The 21104-nt window shown below is 43.5% G+C and overlaps 1 long non-coding RNA gene across 1 annotated transcript, besides 1 other annotated feature; it reads left to right on the forward strand.

The window, feature by feature from the left end:
* Positions 1–73: 73 nt before the first annotated feature.
* LOC107985368 (uncharacterized) lies at positions 74–20073 on the forward strand. The gene is made up of 3 exons (XR_001738551.1): positions 74–627; positions 1450–1501; positions 18384–20073. It is a non-coding gene; the product is annotated as an uncharacterized LOC107985368 (long non-coding RNA).
* Positions 14329–17234: an enhancer, noted in NCBI's record as "VISTA enhancer hs2137". NCBI's record gives its function as "enhancer in: hindbrain (rhombencephalon)[6/8] | midbrain (mesencephalon)[7/8] | cranial nerve[6/8]" and the evidence as "EXISTENCE:transgenic organism evidence [ECO:0001131][PMID:17130149]".
* Positions 20074–21104: the final 1031 nt, after the last annotated feature.

Raw genomic sequence — 21104 nt, forward strand, 5'->3', positions numbered from 1 at the left:
ATGTTATGAAGAAGAACAGGAATGCTGTGGCCAAAGAGGGATGGCCCAATGTGCAAAAGCACACACCCTCACACCTTCTCAAAGAACAGGACAGAACATTCCTTAGCCTCTCTAAGGAAGCCCTGAAATGATGTATCATCCTTTCCCATGGGGAGGATATTAAATACAAGTAGAGGGTTTCTGCTTCCAAAAATGTGTTGAAGACTCCTTCCAATAAAGCCTTGTGTTGGAAGTAGAGATGCAGCACCAGATCCCCTGTTGCAGGAGGATTTGTGGCCTCACCTGCTGGAAGTGTGTATGCAGACAGGAAGGCCACATCCAGTGACTAATCACAGCAGGGATATAAAAGCTGGGCCAGTTTGGACCAACATGGGACAGACAACATGGACCGTGTTAGTTCCAGAACTCCTTATGGGTCATCTGAGTTTGTCACTAACCCTACATCAATCTCAACTTCTCCCTCTGCCCAATCCTGCTTCTGTTTCCTTCCTGACACAGCTGTTGACCCAAGGGCCCTCCATAATAAATACTTATCCTGCCTACTATCCACCTCGCTGTCTGCTTACTGGAGAACGCAATCTGCAATGGTTGGTCCTGGAAGTGATTTGAGAAAGAGAAGATGACTCGGTATGGTGGCTCACACCTGTAATCACAGCACTTTGGGAGGCGAAGTTGGGAAGATCACTTGAAGCCAGGAGTTTAAGAACAGCCTGGCCAACACAGTGAGACCCTGTAACGATTACATTTTTTTTCAATGAGTTGGGCATGGTGGTGCACTCCTTAAGTCCCAAATACTCGGGAGGCTAAGGCAGAAGGATCTCTGGAACCCAGGTGTTTGAGGCTGCAGTGAGCTATGATTGCACCACTGCATTCTAGCCTGGCTGACAGAGTGAGACCTTGCTGAGAAAGAGAGAAGGAGGTGGGGGAAGAGGGAGGGAAGAAAGAAGGGAAGGAAAGAAAGAAAGAGAAAGAAAGAAAGAAAAAAAGAAAGAAAGGAAGGAAGGAGAGATAAGAGAGAGAGAAAGGAAGGAAGGAAGGGAGGGGAAGAAGGAATAAAGAAAGAAAAAGAGAAAGGAAGGAAAAAGGGAAAGGAAGGAAGGAGGGAGGGAGGAAGAAAAGGAAAGCAAGTGGCTAGATGAGGTTTGAGAGCTGAATCCCTCTCTGGCTGGCAATGAGGACCCCATAGCTGGTGGTCAGTGGAGCAAAGACAGACATGGCACAAAGTGGTAACCTGTAACCCAGTTTTTATGACTTGCTGCTCTACTGAATGGTAGGCCAGAGGGAAGGAATGTTCTAGCTGGTGGAGGTATCTGGTATTTTAGGAATATGTGGGGAATAGTTACTGCAAGGACAACAGAACTGAGGAGCTATTGATGATCTAAGCATGATTGATGATTAGAAGAAAGTAATGAAAGGCTAAGTGCATTAAGAAGCTCTTATCTTTTCCAGGAGGAGGACAGAGAAAGCTCAGGACAAGGCACAGGACTTAATCATCAGCATGGTAGGACTCCAAAGAGCTCCACACAAAATCTTGTGCATGAATGTTCATTGCAGCATTCTTCACAATAGCCAAAAGGTGGAAACAACCCAAATGTCCATCAATGAGCTGATGGATATCAAAACATATCCACACCACCTGTGAACTATTATTTGGCCATAAAAGGAGTGAAGTACTGATACATGCTACAACATGGATGAACCTTGAAAACATGATGCTAAGTGAAAGAAACCAGTCTCAAGAGTCCAGATATTATATAAATCAATTTATATGAAAGTCAAGAATAGGGGAATCTATAGAGAAAGTAGATTTGTTGTTGCTTAGGGCTAGGGGTGGGCTGAGTCATAGAGATAGGTAAATGATAGCTACAAGTTACGGGTTTTCTTTTAAAGGTGATGAAAATATTCTGATTTTGACCACAGTGATGGTTGTACGACTCCGTGAATATACTAGAAACCACTGAATTGAACGCATTAAATGAGTGACTTGTACGGTATATATAAAGCATAAGGCTATTTAAAAAGTAAAGGCGGGAAAACCTAGGTGCAGACACATTACTATACTAAACGGGGGGAAAAGAGGCCTTCTGCTGGTAATTGAGGCAAAATTCTCACCTCCACTGAGGAGCAGGACTCACTCCCTCAGCCATGTGGAGCTCTCTTAAGATGATCTGACTGTGTTGTTGGATAAATGCTGTCATTCATTGACATCCCAGTTGACACATTGCAACAAAAATCATTGTGACAAGGGCAGAAAAAGAACGTTCTCCTAGATTCACCAAATCAATGACAAATGAGCGAGTCTTCTGCTTTTATAGCTGGAAGAACTTCACAAAGTAAGCTGAGCACATTTCCATCAAGCCAGGCTAAGAGTCAGACTTTTCCAGGCATTGTATGTCTCCACCGCTTCTTTCTGTCACCTCTTAAAGGGCGTCAGAGGTTATTTCACAGAGGCAAGTGATGTATTCCCAGGAGACACAATGATAATGAAGGAGCCAGAGATTTCTGGTTATAGAATTGCCTCTGCCGCCAAAAGGCTGAAGATCTTTTGGAAATTAATTTAGCCAAATGTAGATAATTTCAATTTTTCCCATCTAAAAATGCAGAGGGTAGGCTATGTGGTATCCTAGCACCTTTCAATGATGATATTCTAGATGCTATTTTTTTGGCATACCTGAGAGCCTTTTGGTCTGATTCTGGCTTTCAGGATGGAATACTACAGAGTGCAATGACTGTGTAGTTGAATGTCATATTCTAAGACTGAGTTGAGCATTATATGCCAAAAAGGGTCCTTCTGGCTTTGTTCTTATGGGAAGTCAAGAGCAGTGAGTGGTCCTATTATGTGGTTCTGGCACTCAGCTTTCCTAAACTTTCATCTTGGAGAGGACTCTGGATCCCATCCCTGCCCTCCGTTAAAAACTCTTCCATCAGAATTGCCAAAGACCTCATCATTTCCAAAAGCCTTTTAGTAGTTATTACCTTCTGTATGGTAACATTTAATACCATTTTACCCGCTTTTGTCTACGAAGCTCTCCTATTCTATGGCTTTATGATGCTTTTTTCTTTCTATTACCCTGCTTCTTCTGGAACACACTTTGTTTGTCTCCATGGGTCCTTCTATGTTGTCCTCTCTTTGGAGGGGACATCCTTCAATGTCTTTCCTTGGCCTTCTTCTCTCCCTTCTCCACTGGCTTCTTCAGGGAGATGACTCACTCTCACAATTTCAGCTGTTATTTTTGTATCTTTCTTTCCTGGAACACATCTCCACCTCTGACCACTTCGTGGAATTCTAAGTTTCTAACGGCTTGCTGAACATCATCACTTGAATGTCCTGCCAATGCATCGAATTCAGCATACTCAAAATAGACCTTGTCTTTGTCCCCAAAGTGGTTCTGTTTCCTAAATGGTGTTTCCCAGGCACCTGGCGTCAAAACTCCCAAGGCATCCATTGATCACCATGGACGCCTCCCTTCCCCTCAGACCCCATATCAGATCTGGCCTCCACAGTGTCTTGGCAACCTCTTAACTTTTGTATCTTCTATGTACCCACTCAGCTGCAGGCTTGCAGCTCGCATCCTCCCTTTCTCATGCCATTGGGTATGAGAAAGTTTCCCCAATGGTACTCTGGCTTCCATCCCCTCAGCCTCTTCAGCGACCTTCTCCATTATTTCTGGCATTGGGTGCTTCTCTCCTCTCCCTTCAAACTTTGCCTTTCCATCAGTATTGTAACATCCTTCACGTCTGTGGAGAACACGTTATCTAAACACTTATTTATTTATTTTTTAGAGAAAAGATCTTACTCTGTCATCCAGGCTGGAGTGCAATGGCATGATCATGGCTTACTGTAACCTTGACCTCCTGGGCTCAAGCAATCCTCTAGACTCAGCCTCTTGAGGAGCTAGGACTATGGGTGTGTGCCACCATGCCTGGCTAAGTTTTAAATACTTTTGTAGAGATGGGGTCTTGCTATATTGCCCAGGGTGATCTTGAACTCCTGGCCTCCAGCAATCCTCCTACTTCAGCCTCCCAAAATGCTGAGATTACAGGCATGAACCACTGTGCCTGGCCTATACTATTTATCAACATCTTCCTCCCATTAGCTTAATTTTAATTAATTATATTTAATTAAAATATTATTCATAAACTCTACCTTTCAAAAATGTACAATCGAGTGGTTTTCAGTATATTCACAGGTCATGCAGCCACCACTGCCATGTAGTCCCAGGATATTTTCATCACCCCAAAAAGAAATCCCATACCCATTAGGAGTCTTTTCCCATTCTCCCCTATTCCCAGCTCCTGGCAAACACTAATTGATTCTCTGTCTCCATACATTTGCCTGTTCTGGATGCTTCATAAGAATGCAATCATTCAACACGTGGTCCTTTGTTGTTGGCTTCTTTCACTTAGCATACTGTCGACAAGGTTCATCCATGTGGCAGTGTATATCAGAACTTCATTCTTTCATGGTTGAATACTCTGATTTCTATTCAGATCTCTTTTGCCTTTTATGGCTGAATAATGTCTCATTGTACAAATATACCACATTTTGTTTATCTATTCAGCTACTGATAGATGTCTGGGTTGTTTACACCTTTTGGCAATGATGAATAATGCTGCTATAAACACTTATGTCCAAGTCTTTGTTTACACAGCTGTTTTCATTTCTCTTGGGTATATATTTAGGAGTACAACGGCTGGATTTATGGTTGACTTTTTGAGGAACTTCCAACTGGTTTTCAAAATGGCTGCACTATTTTACATTCTTAATCATCAATGTATGGGCCCTTCAATTTGTCCATGTCCTTGTCAACACTTGCTGTTTTCTGTCTATTCTACTCTAGTCATCCTAGTGAATGTGAAGTGATATCTTATTGGGGTTTGGATTTGCATTTTTCTACTGACTACTAATACTGAGCATGTTTTCATGTGCTTTTTGATTATTTGTGTATCTTCTTTGGAGAGATTCAAAATTATTTGTCTATTTTTTCATTAAATATTTATAGACAGAAAATTTGTTTTATTTTTTGCTAGTTTTATTTTCAAAATTTATTATGCTATATTGCAAATATCAAAGGGAAATTAAAATAATAAAACCAACACCCATATTCTTAAGAAATAAAATGTTACTGACCGGGCACAGTGGCTCACACCTGTAATCTCAGCACTTTGGGAGGCTGAGGCGGGCAAATAACTTGAGGTCAGAAGCTTGAGACCAGCCTGGCCAATATGGTGAAACCCTGTCTCTACTGATAATACAAAAATTAGCCAGGCATGGTGGTGCCCACCTGTATTCCCAGCTACACAGGAGCTGGGGGCAGGAGAATCACTTGAACCCAAGAAGCAGAGGTTGCAGTGAGCAAAGATTGCATTACTGCACTCCAGCCTGGGAGACAGAGCAAGACTCTGTCTCAAACAAACAAACAAACCGTAATAATAATAGAATAAAATAAAATACTACCAATGTCTTTAAAACCTTTGTGTACTTTCTGCTGATTGCATCCCTTGTCTATCCCTCCCCAGGGTGTTTTACTTTTCTGTTTAACATTCCTATGATTTTTATTTTTAAATGTCTCATTCCTTAACAACATTGCTTTTAAGTTTATATAAATTGTGTTCTAGTGTACATTTTCTTCTGCAAGTTGATTTTTTATTTAACTTTATGCTTATGAAATTCATCCATGGTAATATGTTTAGCTCTGGTTCATTTGTTTTCTCTGTTTTGTTTCCCTATAGGAATATATCACAACAGACTTATCCATTTTTATGATTTACCGCCTCCAAATCATTCTCCACACTGCTGCTAGAGAGATCTTTGTAAAATGCAGATTTGATCAGAACACTTCCCTGTTTAAAATGTGCTAGTGTCTTCTCTTTGCCATCAGGAAGGAAAAAAATCCGAAGTTGTTTGCATGGTATAAAAACTCCTTGTGATCTGCATATAAATTCCTTGTGATCTGGTCTTTTGTTACCTCTTCAGACTCATTTTTTCATCTAGCTGCTCATAATATTTTCACTTTATCTTTCAGCAGTTTAACTGATGTGTTTAGTGTGTGTTTTTGTATATTTGTGTATGTGTGCATTTTATTTATCCTGCCTGGGTTCTCTCTGAGCTTCTTAAATCCATGGTTTGTTGTTTTTCATTAATTTTGGAACATTTTCATCCATTTTTTCTTCAAATATTTCTTCTCCTCCTTTCTCTCTCCTCCTCCTCCTTCTCTTCTTTTCTGATGCAAGTTCCATGAATGGGTTGGGTGTGGTGGCTCATGCCTGTTGTCCCAGTGAGTACTTTGGAAAGCAAAGGTGGGAGGATCCCTTGAGGCCCAGAGTTCAAGACCAGCCTGAGCAACATAGGGAGACCCTATCTTTACAAAAAATTAAAAAATTAGCTGGCATGCTGTCATGCACCTGTAGTCCTAGCTACTTAGTCGGCTAAGGTGGGAGGATCACTTCAATCCAGGAATTCAAGGTTACAGTGAACAATGATTGCATCACTGCACTCCAGCTAGGACAATGAAGAGAGCCTTTGTCTTGAAAAAAAAATCCACAAATGTCAGACCATTTGCTATTGTCCAACTGTCAATAGATTCCCTGCTGGTTTTTCCTACTCTTTTTCCTCTTTGTTTCATTTTGAATAATCTACTTTATCTATATTCAAGTTTACTAACTTTTTCCCTTAGCTGTGTCCAGCTTTCTAATAAGCTTATCAAAGAAATTCTTGCTATCTGATATTGTATTTTCTATTGCTAGCATTTCCATTTGACTTCTTAAGAGAGTTTCCATTTCTCTGCTTAAATTTCTTATCTGTTCATGCTTTGGCCCATCTTTTCTACTAGGTACTAACATACTCATCACAGTTAAAGTCTCTGTTCAATAGTTACATCATCTGAGTCATCTCTGGGTCTGATTCTATTGATTCCTTTGTCTCCTGACAGTAAGTTGTGTTTTCCTTGATTTTTTGTGTATCTTGTAACCTGTTATCGAATGATGGTTATCATTTACAGAACAGTAGTGAATTAGGTAAATAACGTTTACACCTAGAAATAGAAACATCTCTTCTTTCATGGCATTAATATGTGTGTGTGGAGTGGTTAGTCAATCTAGTTAGTAGTTGAGAAGTATTTGAATGTTGTTGTTTGTTATCCTCAGTGCACCACAGGCTTCATATTCCCCCATGGTGGCCTGCCAGAGGGACTTCTCATGTTTGTGCTCCACTTTCAGCTTCAGTCATCTCTGCACACCAATCCGATAGGGGTTCCCTACCCACATCTTCCCCTTCTGTAGTGGAAGACTACTATTATTACTCAGTGCTGGGCTCATTGTGAGTGGTAGGCAGGTTCTCACTTCTCTTGGTCCAGCTCAGTTTTAGGCAGGACCTGGGTGCCTCAGGTGTGAGGACTTCTTGGGATTCCTCCCTTTTCCCCCCATCACAGCTGAACTTTGCCTTGTGTCTTTGGTAGGTCTTGGGCAGGAGAGTATGTCCTACCACTTCCCTGCAAGAGCAGACCCCTGTTATGTATTGGCACAGGATCCTGGGTCAATGACATTTTCCTGCCCCTCCTTGTGGAGCAGACAACTGATGCTTCCACCCTTCCTCCAGACACAGTAGATCTTTGGATAATTCGGGGGTAGGGGCAGAATAGAGGGTTTTTTACTCCTCCCTTAGAAGCAGACAGGATTTCTTCTTCCTCTTCTTCACCATCCCTGGGGGAGAAAGGGTTGTTGCTGCTCCCTCATGGCATGAGGTGATTGCTTCATAGCAGACAAAGGTCTGAGGAAGCAAGTGGCGTTTCATGCCTGTCCTGAGAGGCAGCATTTGCTTCCTGCACACCCGTGTCAATGACAGGAGCTCTCTCTGGTCCCTTCCCCTAGCTGCCTCCAATCTTTCTTGCAGCTGTTGTGTGGAGATTCATGGAGAAGATCTTGGGATGAGTGCAAACTTTCTATGTATCTGACTCTCAGTTCTAAATGGATAGGTTAGCCACCTATGGCTTTCAGGAATTTGTTCAATTTTTAGCTGATTCCTTTCTACAGACTCCTACCACCACTTCTTTCTCCTCCTGTGCTCTTCCAATGTTAAAAAAGTTAATACGTTTCATTTGTCTTTGTAGGCACTTGTCAGTCCTTAAAATTTAGTTCCTTTGGTTGCCTTGAAATCTCAGCTCTCTATTGGGTTCAAGACAAGCTCTGATTTTGTAGATGATCCAGCTTTCTCTCAGCATTAGGATATGAGGAATATTCTTTTGGGGGCTTTGTACAACCTAAGAAGACATAGAAGTCCCTGACTCATCTCTTTGTGCCTTTTCCTCTTTGTATCCTAAGCCCTATGTGAACAAAGCATTCTGTGCTGCTGAGGCCGTGCTACGCTGTTCCCTCTGTTAGAAATGTCCTGACCTATTACTTTGTTTTTCTTTTATTTATTATGTTGTTGTTTACCAAATTTATTCACAGACATAGTTTAAAGCAAGTGTGTTCAAAGGCTTTAAAGTACTAAAGGCAGAGGGCCCTGCTTCTTCTCTCCCCTTTTTAAATCCCTTTTCCAATGGGCTCCATGCTCAACTCCTTTAGCTGATTATTTTGGCATCTACCTTCATGTATCTAAATAACATGCTTAGATGGCTACTTCTTGATTTTTCAGTTTTCTACAATATCAATTTACACTCCGTTACGAAATATGAGGATTTGTCTTTTATCTTTTTCTCCCACCACAAACATCCACCTATTTGATTCTCCCATCCCAACTCCAAAAATACTTTTATCATAATATTGATAAGATCAATATTTAGGGTTTACTGTAATATGACTTTTTTTTTTGAGACAGGGTCTCACTCTGTTACCCAGGCTGGAGTGCAGTGGCATGATCTCAGCTCACTGAAACCTCTGCCTCCTGGGCTCACATGGTTCTCCTGCCTCAGCCTCACAAGTAGCTGGGATTACACGTGTCTGCCACCACGCCTGGCTAATTTTAAAAATATTTTGAGTACAGACAGGCTTTCGCCATGTTGGCCAGGCTGGTCTTGAACTCCTGGCCTCAAGTGGTCCGCCTGCCTTGGCCTCCAAAAGTGCTGGCATTACAGGCGTGAGCCACCGCACCTGGCCTAATATGACTTTTAAATGATTTTTTAATTAAAATGTTAATCAAAGCTTAGCCATGGAATAAATTGTAATTACTTTAGCTTTCATAAAAAATATTTTGCTTTCTCTGCAGTAATCATTGTCTTGTTTGCTTGGTTTCTATCACCAACCCAATCCTAATAATTAGTTGAACCCTAAACTCTGTGTTCATGTCTCAATTTTTTCTCGATACATTCAAATGCAACAGATAACCTATCAATTTCATCTTCTTTCTAACATGCTGTAGTCTGGACTGGCTGCCTTTTATGCCAGGAACTTAGCTGTTATCCCGGATCTTGCTTCCTAACAACCTGTTGTAATCTCTGTATTAGTCTGTTTTTACACTGCTTTAAAGAACTACCTGAGACTGGCTAGTTTACGAAGAAAAGAGGTTTAATTAACTCCCAGTTCTACAGGCTTAACAGGAAGCAAGGCTGGGAAGCCTCAGGAAACTTACGATCATAGCAAAAGGCAAAGGGGAGGCAAGCACCTTGTTCACATGGTGGCAGGAGAGAGAGAGAGAGCGAAACGGGAAGCACCACACACTCTTAAACAACCAGATCTCGTGAGAATTCACTCACTATCATGGGAACAACATGGAGGAAATCCACCGCCATGATCCAGTCACCAGACGGGGGTCCCCACCAAGTTCCTCCCCCAACACTGGGAATTACAATTCAACATGAGATTTGGGTGGGGACGCAGAGACAAACCATATCACCCTGTTTGCTGTGGCCATCTCTTTTTCTTTTGTTTTGTTTCTTTAAGTATTTTATAGCTTCCTTGGATAATTGATGTTCCCATGGTTTATGACAGGTAAATTTATAAGACTTTACCATCATAACATTGAAACATTTATTTTATCCTATGTGATTGATGGTTAATTTTAAGTGTCAACTTGACTGGATTAAGGGCAACTAGATAACTGATAAAGCATTATTTTTTAATGTGTCTGTAAGGATTTTCCCAGAGGATGTTGGCATGTTAGTCAGTGGACTAAGGGGAGAAGATCCAACCTCAGTGTGGGTAGCACCATCCAGTCAGTTGGGGGCCTGGGTAGAATAAAGAGGCAGAGGAAAGGCAAATTCACCCTCCGTCTTCTGGAGCTGGAATGCCCTTCTCATGACCCTGCACGTCAGAGCGTTAGGCCCTTGGACTCCAGGACTTGCACCAGGGGCCTCCCCAGTTCTCAGGGCTTTCAGACTTGGACTGAGCCATGCTGCTGGCTTCCTTGCTTCTCCAGCTTGTTGATGCCCTTTCATGGGACTTCTCAGCCTCCATAATTGCATGAGCAAATTCCTCTAATAGATCCTCTTTTATCGCTCTCTCTCTACATATATATTCTATTGGTTCTGTCTCTCTGGAGAACTCTAATATGTCCTGAAATCTGATTCATCATTTGACTGGATCAAGTGTTCTATGTTGGAAATAATATACCTTTTATATTTTAGAGACATTCTCGCATTGCCTTCTCTTTCTGATGCCATTTTGATTTCTGCTCCATTGTTTGTCTCTGGTATCCTGAAATTTTATGACAATATCCTGGGTACTTCCTGTACTCTTACAAAAATAAATGCTTTTGATTCTGGGAAATTATGTTTTTTTTTTTTTTTTTATAATTTCTTCCCATTTCTTCTCTCTTTCCTGGAACTACTTTTGGGTGTTAGAGCTCCTAAATTGGTACTCTAGTTTTCTTATCATTTCTTCTATGATCTATCTCTTTTTCTTTCTGCTTCACTTTCTAAGTGAATGCTTCAACTTTATCTTTCCTTGCTTCTGCTAAATTTCTCATATTTTTAATTTTTAAGAGTAGTTTTCTTTTCTCTGAATGTTCCTGTTTGAAGACATTCTGTTTTTGTTTTATGAAAGCAATATCTTTTCTCTCTGATGATACTAAAGAGAAGTTTGTGCATTTTCTTCTTCTTGTGTAACTGCTGTTTCTTTCAAGTTTTCTTTTGCTGCTTGTTTTGGTTTCTAACACCTATTTTAGGGGCTTTTCTCAAATGCCTGGTTTTCTTGGTTGCTCATTTTTAAGAGTGGCTTACTAAGAAAACTATTGAAAGCTCTAAGTTTGTTTGTGGGGCTGGTGGAATTGTAGGAATCGCTGTTAGGAAAGTAGCTGGGCTGTTACATTGGAAAAATCTGTCAGTAGCATTAAGTCTTTCTTATAGGGATAGTCAGATGCCCCTGTGAAGGCTCTTCCAATATCTACCTAGAGAAGTAGCATGTGCCACCAGCATTCTGGGAGCTGAGTTTGGGAAAAGGGATGGGGATTTCAGTATCTATAAATATGTGTTTACTCAGCCCTTTTGCTTCAGTATGGTGCCCTCACTCCCAGCTGGGCCTCCATCTCTAGTCCAGGGACCTTCTTCAGAGAACAAGCCTCCCATCTCCTGCTGGGATAGACAGGGTGCATCCACCCATCTCTATGGAGGGAGCTGGGGAGAGGATCTCAGGATCTAACTCATAAGCAACTTAGCACTATTTATTTAGACCTACCTTTACACACACACACTCATACATGCATACACACATGCACACACACATGTGCACACACATGCATGCAAACATGCACACACACATGCACACACACATATGCACACACGCACACTTGTATTCTAGAGGTAACCACTGCCACCAATTCTTGTGACTTTGGGATTCTCTGGTGTTAATTGGATTGATTCTTGGCCTCCTTCAATACTGGTTTAGCATTCAGCTTTCTCAGGTCTTTTAATTCATTATCACTCTCCACAACTCACCCAAACCCTCCCATCGGGCCTTGAGAGATTAATATGTCATCAGTATGTCAAATAAAAAATTAGCTGGGTGTGGTGGCTCATGGCTGTATTCCCAGCTACTCAGGAGGCTGAGGTGAGAGGATCGCTTGAGCCCAGAAGGTCGAGACTGCAATGAGCCATGATGGCACCCCTGCGCACCAGCCTGGCAACAGAGGGAGACCCTGGCTCAAAAAAACAAAACAAAATATAACAAAAATAATCCCAACCAAACAGAACAACAACAACAAGGAATCAGAGAAGGCTCAGGGGAGGGACTACTGGAAGTGGCCCAAGTAAAGACAGGTGACTGGAGGCTTCTGCATAAGGGACGGCAATTTAAGCCTACACATTTACCATTGCTCCCACCTGAAATGATAGCGAAGGAATTGTTTTGAGGGCAAAAAACAAACAAACAAACAAAAAATCCCAGGAAAAAAAGATGGGAGGAGAGAGGTAGCTCATATTAGGCAGTTATGAAGAATATAGTAATAAAGGTCAGGCCAGGCATGGTGGCCCATGCCTGTAATCCCAGCACTTTGGGAGGCTGAGGCGGGAGGATCACATGAGCCCAGGAGCTCAAGACCAGCCTGGGCAACAAAGTGAAACCCAGTCTCTACTAAAAATAATTTTTTAAAAGTTAGCTGGGTGTGGTGGCGGCTGTGGTCCCAGCTACTCAGGAGGCTGAGGTGAGAGGATTGCTTGAGCCCAGGAGTTTGAGGCTGCAGTGAGACATGATTGTGCCACTGCACTCCAGCCTAACAGCAAGATCCTGTCTAAAAAAAAAAAAAAGAAAAAAAGACAAGAAATCAGGGTGCTGTTGTATGGGAAGTTTCAGCTTCTCATGGGTGGCTAAAGTGAACAGGGCTGAGAGACTTGAAGGGGTTAGTCTTCATGGCCTATTTCAATGGAAGGTGAGTCAAATGTCCAGGCCTAAGTGTCTGGCTAGAGCCCAGCATAGCTGACATTACGGAGTCTCTGGGCCATGGTTCTCTCTTGTAGTAGGAGCAAGCTTACTCCAGCAGACACTTAGGTTTCTGGCATTACCAACCTCTGCTGAAGCCCTCAGTTGATGGGGCCTTTTGGGGAGGGGAGATGTCCCTGGAACAAGCACATGGAGCTTCCTCAAGGAGCTCAGACAAGGGCAATTGTTGGGGCCCAGGAGAAAGTCATATTGAGCAGATGGGCTCTCTACCCAATGCACACAGAAGCCAATACTATGGCACGGGCTTTTGAGAAAAAAAAGGCTTTATTGCAAGACAGACCAGCAAGGAAGCAGGAGGGAGGCTGAAATCTGTCTCCTCCACTGGGGGTCTGGGGCAAGTTTTAAGGGCTCATGGGCCATGGAAAAGGACTTAGGAATAGTTGGCTTGGCAGGGTCTGACTGGAGGTCTGACATTTGACCATTTATAGTAAGGTATGTTGAGGCAGATTTTACCCCTGATCTTTGGGGCCAATGGACTCCTTGCATCTGAAATAGTTCCAGCATTCAGGTTCTGGTCATGTCCTAGTCTTCTGGTTCTGTTGGAAGGACTTACTGGTTGTGGGTGTTATTAGGGGTCAACGCCTTTCCTATTGCTCAGGCTACATGACTTGCAGTTTCTGGCTGTGTTATACCTACATGGTAACTCGACAGAGTAGGCCCAGTTTGGCCTGGTCCTATGGTTAGAAGAGAGGAAGTACTTACGTGCGCTTGAAGCAGCTGTTGGGTACATGGTCACTGCACACCTGCACGAAAGTACAGGTACCAGGCCGGGCACAGTGGCTCATGCCTGTAATCCCAGCACTTTGGGAGGCCGAGGCAGGTGGATCACCTCACGTCTGGAGTTTGAGACCAGCCTGGCCAACATGGTGAAACCCCGTCACTACTAAAAATACAAAAGTTAGCCAGGCATGGTGACACTCACCTGTAATCCCAGCTACTCAGGAGGCTAAGGCGGGAGAATCGCTTGAACCCAGGAGGCGGAGGTTACAGTGAGCTGAGATCATGCCATTGCACTCCAGCTGAGGTGACAGAGAGAGACTCCATCTCAAAAAAAAAAAAAAAAAAAGATAAAAAAGAAAAAAAAAGTACAGATAACAGCTCACAGCATTACACAAACGTCATTCATGTTTAATGCAATTGTTGCTATCTTTACACCTAGTCCTATGTTTGGAAATTATATTAACATACAGCCTGGGCAATATAGTGAGACCTCGTTTCAACAAAAAATTAAAAAATCAGCTAGGCATGGTGACATGTGCCTGTAGTCCCAGCTACTTGGGAGGCTGAGGTGGGAGGATCGCTTGAGACCTGGAGGTCAAGGCTGCAGTGAGCCATGATTGTGCCACTGCACTCCAGCCTGGGCAACAGAGCAAGACTTTGTCTCAAAAAAAAATCATATTAACATAAAATTCAATTTAATGAACTCAAAGTTCATTATGATTGGTGATAAGACTTTTGCCAGTAAGAGGTTTGGGGAAAGTAGAATGTTACGAAAATTCCAGACGGTGAGAAGCATCTGCGATCTCTTGCTGTTCTTCTTTTCCCCAGGACTGTGTTTCTGGCATGGCCAAATCAGTCACACACGCTCCATGACCCTGTGCCCATGCCCTTGAATGGAGATGCGGGTTGCTGCTGGCGTTAGGCCCCTGCCCATCCCGTGGATGACACGCCTGACCCACGTCCCCTCGCGTCTGTCTGCTGACAGGACTGTGCTCACCAGCTTTGATAAAACCAAAGAGGGGAGAACAGCTTCTCGTCACCTGCTGTAGAGGCAGCATCTACACAGGGTGGCCTCTGTCCTCTCCTTGGCTGTTGGCTTTTTACACATCAGTGTCCTCATTTCCCCCACAAACCCAAGGGCACCTGACACACCATGTCACTCAGTGACTTCACCTGCGAAGAGAAGGGGAGCAGGGCCGGGTGCTGTGTTTTCTCTAACATTGAGGTTGACCTTTCAACACCAGAATACGTGGTGGAAGGAAACAGTTTTCCCCATCCTCACGGCTCTGGAAAAGAGGAACAAAACACTACCAGTTAAATAAAAAGCTTCAAAAGGCATCGTAAATTCCCGTAGCAGGATATTTAAAGAATGGTTTTAACAATCAGACTAAATAAGGCGACCTGACTCCATGCCTGGAAAACTCACCAGGCTCAGGAGAGCTTTGTCATTATTACCTCATCTGAGAGCCACTTAACCCAGGCAGGCCCTGGACGTGCCTTGCTGGCTGATCTCACGCAGGAGAGATCGGTGCAGTGCAGGCAGGTGGCAGACTGGCCGTGCCTCCACACGGGCCCTCCCTGGCCACCACTGTTCGGGATTCAGTTCTTGTTTCTGTTGTTACTCAGAGGGCATAGAGGAGACCGGCATACCCAGCGGCCAAAGGCAGGGCCCAGGCGGGGGTGAGCACAGGTGTGTTATTTCTTTCTTTCCACTTCTACTTGGAGGCATTTCTATAGGGAAAGGGAGTTAGGGTTTCTCTGCAGCAAGCAACCCCCTTGCCCTTCCTCTCCATGATTTTGTGAGTGCAGGAGGATTCCTGATTCTGGTTCATGTGGTCCAAGTCCATTCAGAGATACAGGTGTGAACCAAGCCCCTGACACCAACTTACTGTGTTAGTGAATAAATCACAAAGACTCTTTGGACAATTTGGGGACATTTAGGGGCCTTCGAGTTTCAATATTCTGTAATTCTGACAGCTCTCTGGCTGTCCATGGGTAATGCACAATTTTGCCTTTTATTGGCAGGAGCTGAGGATTTTATTGATTCCGTTGGGTCTGAGAAGAAAGGAGGCCCAGGCACTCATCTTCTCCTAATTAATTTTTCATGTTCCACAGCAGTGATTCCTCCTACAGCCAGGAGAGGCTGAGCAGCGGCTTCGCTGATGCTTTTTGTTAGCATCAGATGTCAGCAGAACTGGCCCACCTCCTGGTCCTGCAGTCCCAGTGGGTGGCTAGGGAGGGAACACAGCTGTCCCTTCTCTCTTCTCAAAGACAGGTGGTGGGGCAGAATTGGGGGAGGGGGACAGAGAGAGGGAGAGGGAGAGAGAAAGGAAGACAGAAAGAGGCAGAGAAGGAGAGAGAGAAAAAGGAAGACAGAGAAAGGGAGAGGGCGGGAGAGAGGAAGAGAGGAGAGAGAGAGAGAATGGCTTGAATAATTGAATGAGAATTGTCTTCCCCAGTGCCTGGCATGGTGGCTCACGCCTGTAATCCCAGCAGTTTGGGAGGCTGAGGGAGGTGGATCACTTGAGGTCAGGAGTTCGAGAGCAGCCTGGCCAACATGGTGAAACCCCGTGTCTACAAAAATTAGTCGGGCATAGTGGTGGTGCACGCCTGTAATCCCAGCTACTCAGGAGGCTGAGGCAGGAGAATCGCTTGAACCTGGGAGGCAGAGGTTGCAGTGAGCTGAGATCACGCCACTGCACTCCAGCCTGGGCGACAGAGTGAGACTCTGTCTCAAATAAATAAATAAATAAATAAATAATAATAATAATAACTGTCTTCCCTGAGATGAAAAGGATCATTTCCCAGCAGGGAAACCCTAGAGCCCAGGTGGCCCGATGGCTTCCTCGGGGTCATAAACAGCACAGTTGCAACGTGAACTTCTGTTGGTTTTCTTCACTGAAGTAGAGCTGCTGCTGCCGTGAGTTAAGGCATCAACCGGTTTTGATCCTTCCAAATAGTCACTGAAGATAGTGGCGTGCATCCCCAGGTGCTATCAGAGGACTGTTTTTCTCTTATCAGGGAAGTCCTGTGCATCTTGTCCCACAGGGCTATGGAGATGTGGTTGGCATGGGACACACCCCCTTCATGCTTAGTTAAAGCGCAATTGCACTGCTGAGGACCGGCTTTGTCTCATCCCCCGTCATGCTGTGAACATTCTGGAGAGAGGAAGTCTGTTTTGTTTTTCTGGCTCCCAGGACCCCATCCAGAGAGACAGGAAGCTAGGAGGTGCCCGTTGAACAGTTGTTCAATGGATGTGAAATAAAAGAACATAAATATGACCCTTGCTTTTATCTTCCTTGGGCATCCCAGGCTCTGGCATTTAGATCAAATGGTTACAGTCTATAGAAGTTGATTCTGTAGACTGTGGTCTGGGAGCACAGGGCAGAAGCTCAGCCCAATGATTGCCCTTCAGTGTGTCGAACGCCCTGTGCTTCACTACCAGGCTTTTTGATGTGGCTGAGAAAGTTTACGTTCAATCTCAAAATGCTCTCCTTAGGGAACATCTAATACGGTTTCCTTGAGAAAATAAATTAATTTCTCAGGTTTGGCATTGGCAAGTGTCCCACTCACTGCCCGTTAGGAACCCTGCTTTCCAAACCTATACTCCTCTTACTATGTCATCCTGATGCCCTGTTTAGTTGCTTCTCATAAGAATAGAAATGGTAGCCGGCCCTGGTGGCTCACACCCATAATCCCATTGCTTTAGGAGGCCAAGGCAAGAGGATTTCTTCAGACCAGGAGTTCAAAACCATCCTGGGCAACTTATCAAGACTCCACCCCTTAACAACAACAATTTATTTATTTATTTATTTATTTATTTATTTATTTATTTATTTATTTATTTAGAGATACGGTCTTGCTACATTGACCAGACTGGTCTTGAACTTCTGACCTCAAGCGATCCTCCCATCTCGGCCTCCCAAAGTGGTAGGATTATAAGTGTGAGACACAGCACCCAGACTAACAAAATATTTTTAAATCAGCTGGGCATGGTGGCTCACACCTGTAGTCCCAGCTACTTGGAGGCTGAGATGGGATGACTACTTGAGCCCAGGATTCCAGGATGCAGTAAGCTATGATCATGCCACTGTAATCCAGCATGGGTGACAGAACCAGACCCTGTCTTAAAAAAAAAAAGGAAAATAATAGTAAGGGTGGTAGGGGAAGAGGGATGAAGAGCGGTTGGTTATGGGTACAAACATACAGTTAGATAGAAGAAATAAGTTCAGATGTTTGATAGCACACTAGGGTGATGATACTTAGCATCAATGTTATGCATATTTCAAAGTAACTAAAAGAGAGGACTTGAAGCCAACACAAAAATGATAAACACTCAAGGTGAGGCATTTCCCAATTACCCTGACTTGATCATTACACATCCTTTGCATGGAGCAAACACTCATATGTGCCTCATGAATATGTAAATCATTATATATCAATAAAACGGAGAAAACTAGATAATAAAAAATAGAAATGGAGGAGATTAAAGAATAGAAATGGAAAAGCATGTGTAGTAAGTGAGTGGGAGGACGATATGTTGAAGTGAGTTGCTTCAGAATGCGGGTGCTTAACTTTGTCATGTCCATTGGGTACCACGAATGACTTGAAGATGTCATTTTTTTTTCTGGATAGGACAAAGGGAATGTAGGTGTATATTCTGGTATCTCCCCATTTCTTTCTCTTATGCCTGAGGTTTCTTGGTGAGTTTTGTTAAGTTCATTTGTGACATCCTTTTGGAAACAGAGCGTAAACTTGTTCTATCTCTCTGTCTTCTCTCCGTTCTTGCCCAGGCTGGGACTCTATTCCCTGGGGTGATGGAAGACTGGCTCTTGAGCTGCATCCTTGGTAGCTTTTCCTTCTTCATCTCATTGCCAGTGAGGACACTGAGGAGGAGAAGGAGGTGAGGAGGAGGAAAAAGATGAGGAAAAGGAGAAAACCAACCACGATCCACTGTCACCAAATGAGCATGCCAGGTTGCCATGCTGCACAGCTCCAAGAAGCACCACTGTCCATGTGGTCAACATGGATGGATCCCTGAGGAGGTGTCCAGCAGCAGCCTGCATGCCATGCGTGGCTCTGAAGTCAATAATCCTGGAAAAAGGGTCATTCCTTCCCAATAAACGACAGTGGGCTATCTCCCGCAGACACCCACGAAATTTCCCTCCTTTTCCTTCCATGGAGGACTGGTGAAAACGTCATCATGGACCTGACCTGCATCTGGAGACCATCCCTCAGAGGTGCTGCAGAGCTCCTTTCTGCCCAGGCATTTACGGTGGGTGAGAACTTGGAGAGGCGAGCTCACGAGGGAGTTGGGGTTTTGACTTGGCCATGACTACTCAGCTCAGGATGAAAGCTGATACTTTCTGAGTGCATTCTTTGATTAACCCTTCAATCCTCACAATCACCCCATGTCACCAGGAGGAAACTGAGGCAAAGTCCACACAACTGGCAAATCTGGTATGACTCTCTTTCTGTCACAGCAGTTTGCTGGCAACAGACCTACAGCCAGATGCTCAGGTGAGTTAGTTCCAGTGGCTGCTTTTTTGTGGCACCCAGACCTCCATTCTCTCCCTTCATCACTGACCTGTTGCTGGTGCCTTCTTGGGACTCTCCCAAGGCCTTGCTGCTTTTCTCTCCTCCTGGGCTTTGACCAAGGCTTACCCATGTGGCCACACAGTTTCAGCAACTTGGGGGAAAATGATAGGAGGTTGAATCCCTTTCCCTTAGGAAGGGACTGAGGCTTCTCATGCTCCATCTAGCAATTGTGTCTTTCTCAAAATGTACAACATTATGTTCCACGAGAGACTCAACACACAGGTGCACAGGTGACATATAGGTGGCTTTTTGCCTATGGAGAAAGTGGAGCATCGGAGGAGCCACAGAGAGGGAAGTGAGGGCTAGCAGGTGAGGGCGGTGTGATGTTTCTTCTCCTCTCAGCCAAGCTCTGTCGCTCCTTGCTCCAAGGGACAGACTGTGCTCCTGTGGGAAGCCTCTGACCTCACTCCAGTGAGAACAGCAAAGTGAGTGGAGGTGACCCAGCCGCCCTTCTGCCCACCACAGCTGCTTAGCTGGAGGATGAAATACACTTATTAGCCAAACCCAATGACAGGCCTTCGTTTCTGCTTTTTAATCCCTCAGTAGTTTATAAATGTTCCTTTCTCTTTTGCAGCTTTGAACTACACCCCTTTCTTTAAGGAATGTCAAATTAAACTTGAATACAAAAGAATATTTCTCACCATCATACCATATAAGTTTTTATGTGTAATTTTATGGCTACGCTTTCCGACTAGATATTAGTATTATAATATTCCAAAGCGAAAAGCAAAAAAGAGTTATTGCCATTGAGATGTAAATATGAATAAACACCGTTTTTAGAATCCAGTGATTTTTGTCAGGCTTTTGGGAGTGCTTGCTTGTCATTTTATAATTGCAATGAAACTGAAAAATAGACCTGAAATTATATAAAAATACATCAAGGAGTGCCCTGCATCTATGTTCTCCTAGTCTTTGAAGGCAAATTCTCTATGAATAGAACTTATAGAGATTCTAATTGGTCTTACAATTGAGTTTCCGGTAATTGAACATACCTTTTAGTCTTCTTTACTTCATATCATCATTTCACATCTTCTTCATTTCAATTACTGGTGCTAGAAAATAAAACGCAATACACTGTGATTCGTGTGTAGAATGCTGGTTAGTTCAGCTCCAAAGAGCAAGTAAGATGTTCTATGCTCAGCTCTCTCCTGGGTCTGCTCATAATAGGTATTCAGTAAATAGTTGTTGAATGATTAAATAAATGAATGAGCAAATGGATACAAGGATGCTGCTATGTAGCATTATGTAACTTGCTTAGATTGTATGTATTTTTTACTGTCTGTCTCCCCTCAATGGGATGACGGCCTCTCGAGGGCAGACGTTTTCGTATGATTTGTTCACAGGTGTATCCCAGGCACGTAGTAGGATGACTGACACATAAGGTACTTGGCAAATATTTCTTGAACAATTAACGAGTCTGGGGCTGTAGCCACAGATTGCACTTTCTCATCTCAGCCAGATGGTTCTTAAATGTATATCTTCAGTCATAAAGGGAATTGGGAGAAATATTTTAGATGTGTTAAAGAATGAAAGCAGATTGCTCGCTGTTCCTGGTCTCTTTACACAAATGAGTCTGCCCACAAGAGCCCTCACGGGGAATGTGTGAAAGGCGACTGTCGACCCCAGCGTTTCTTTCTTAGGAATTCCTTCAGACCACCTTTAATTTGTCTGCTGTGTAGTTTCTCACTTTTTGGCTCCTCACTATACTCACTTCTCATGAAAACAGGGACTCAAGTGGATGCGTACACCCATGTTCGTTGTGTGCTCTTCACAGTAGCCAAAAGGTAGAAGCAACCCACAGTGGGTGAATAGATAAACAAAATGTGGTACGTGCATGCAATGGAGTATTATTCAAACTTTATTTTATTTTACTTTTCAAGTCTAAGTGTTTAATTATTATTCACCTATTTCACAGA

This window comes from Homo sapiens, chromosome 1 (assembly GCF_000001405.40).
Source record: "Homo sapiens chromosome 1, GRCh38.p14 Primary Assembly".
Classification (NCBI taxonomy): domain Eukaryota; kingdom Metazoa; phylum Chordata; class Mammalia; order Primates; family Hominidae; genus Homo; species Homo sapiens.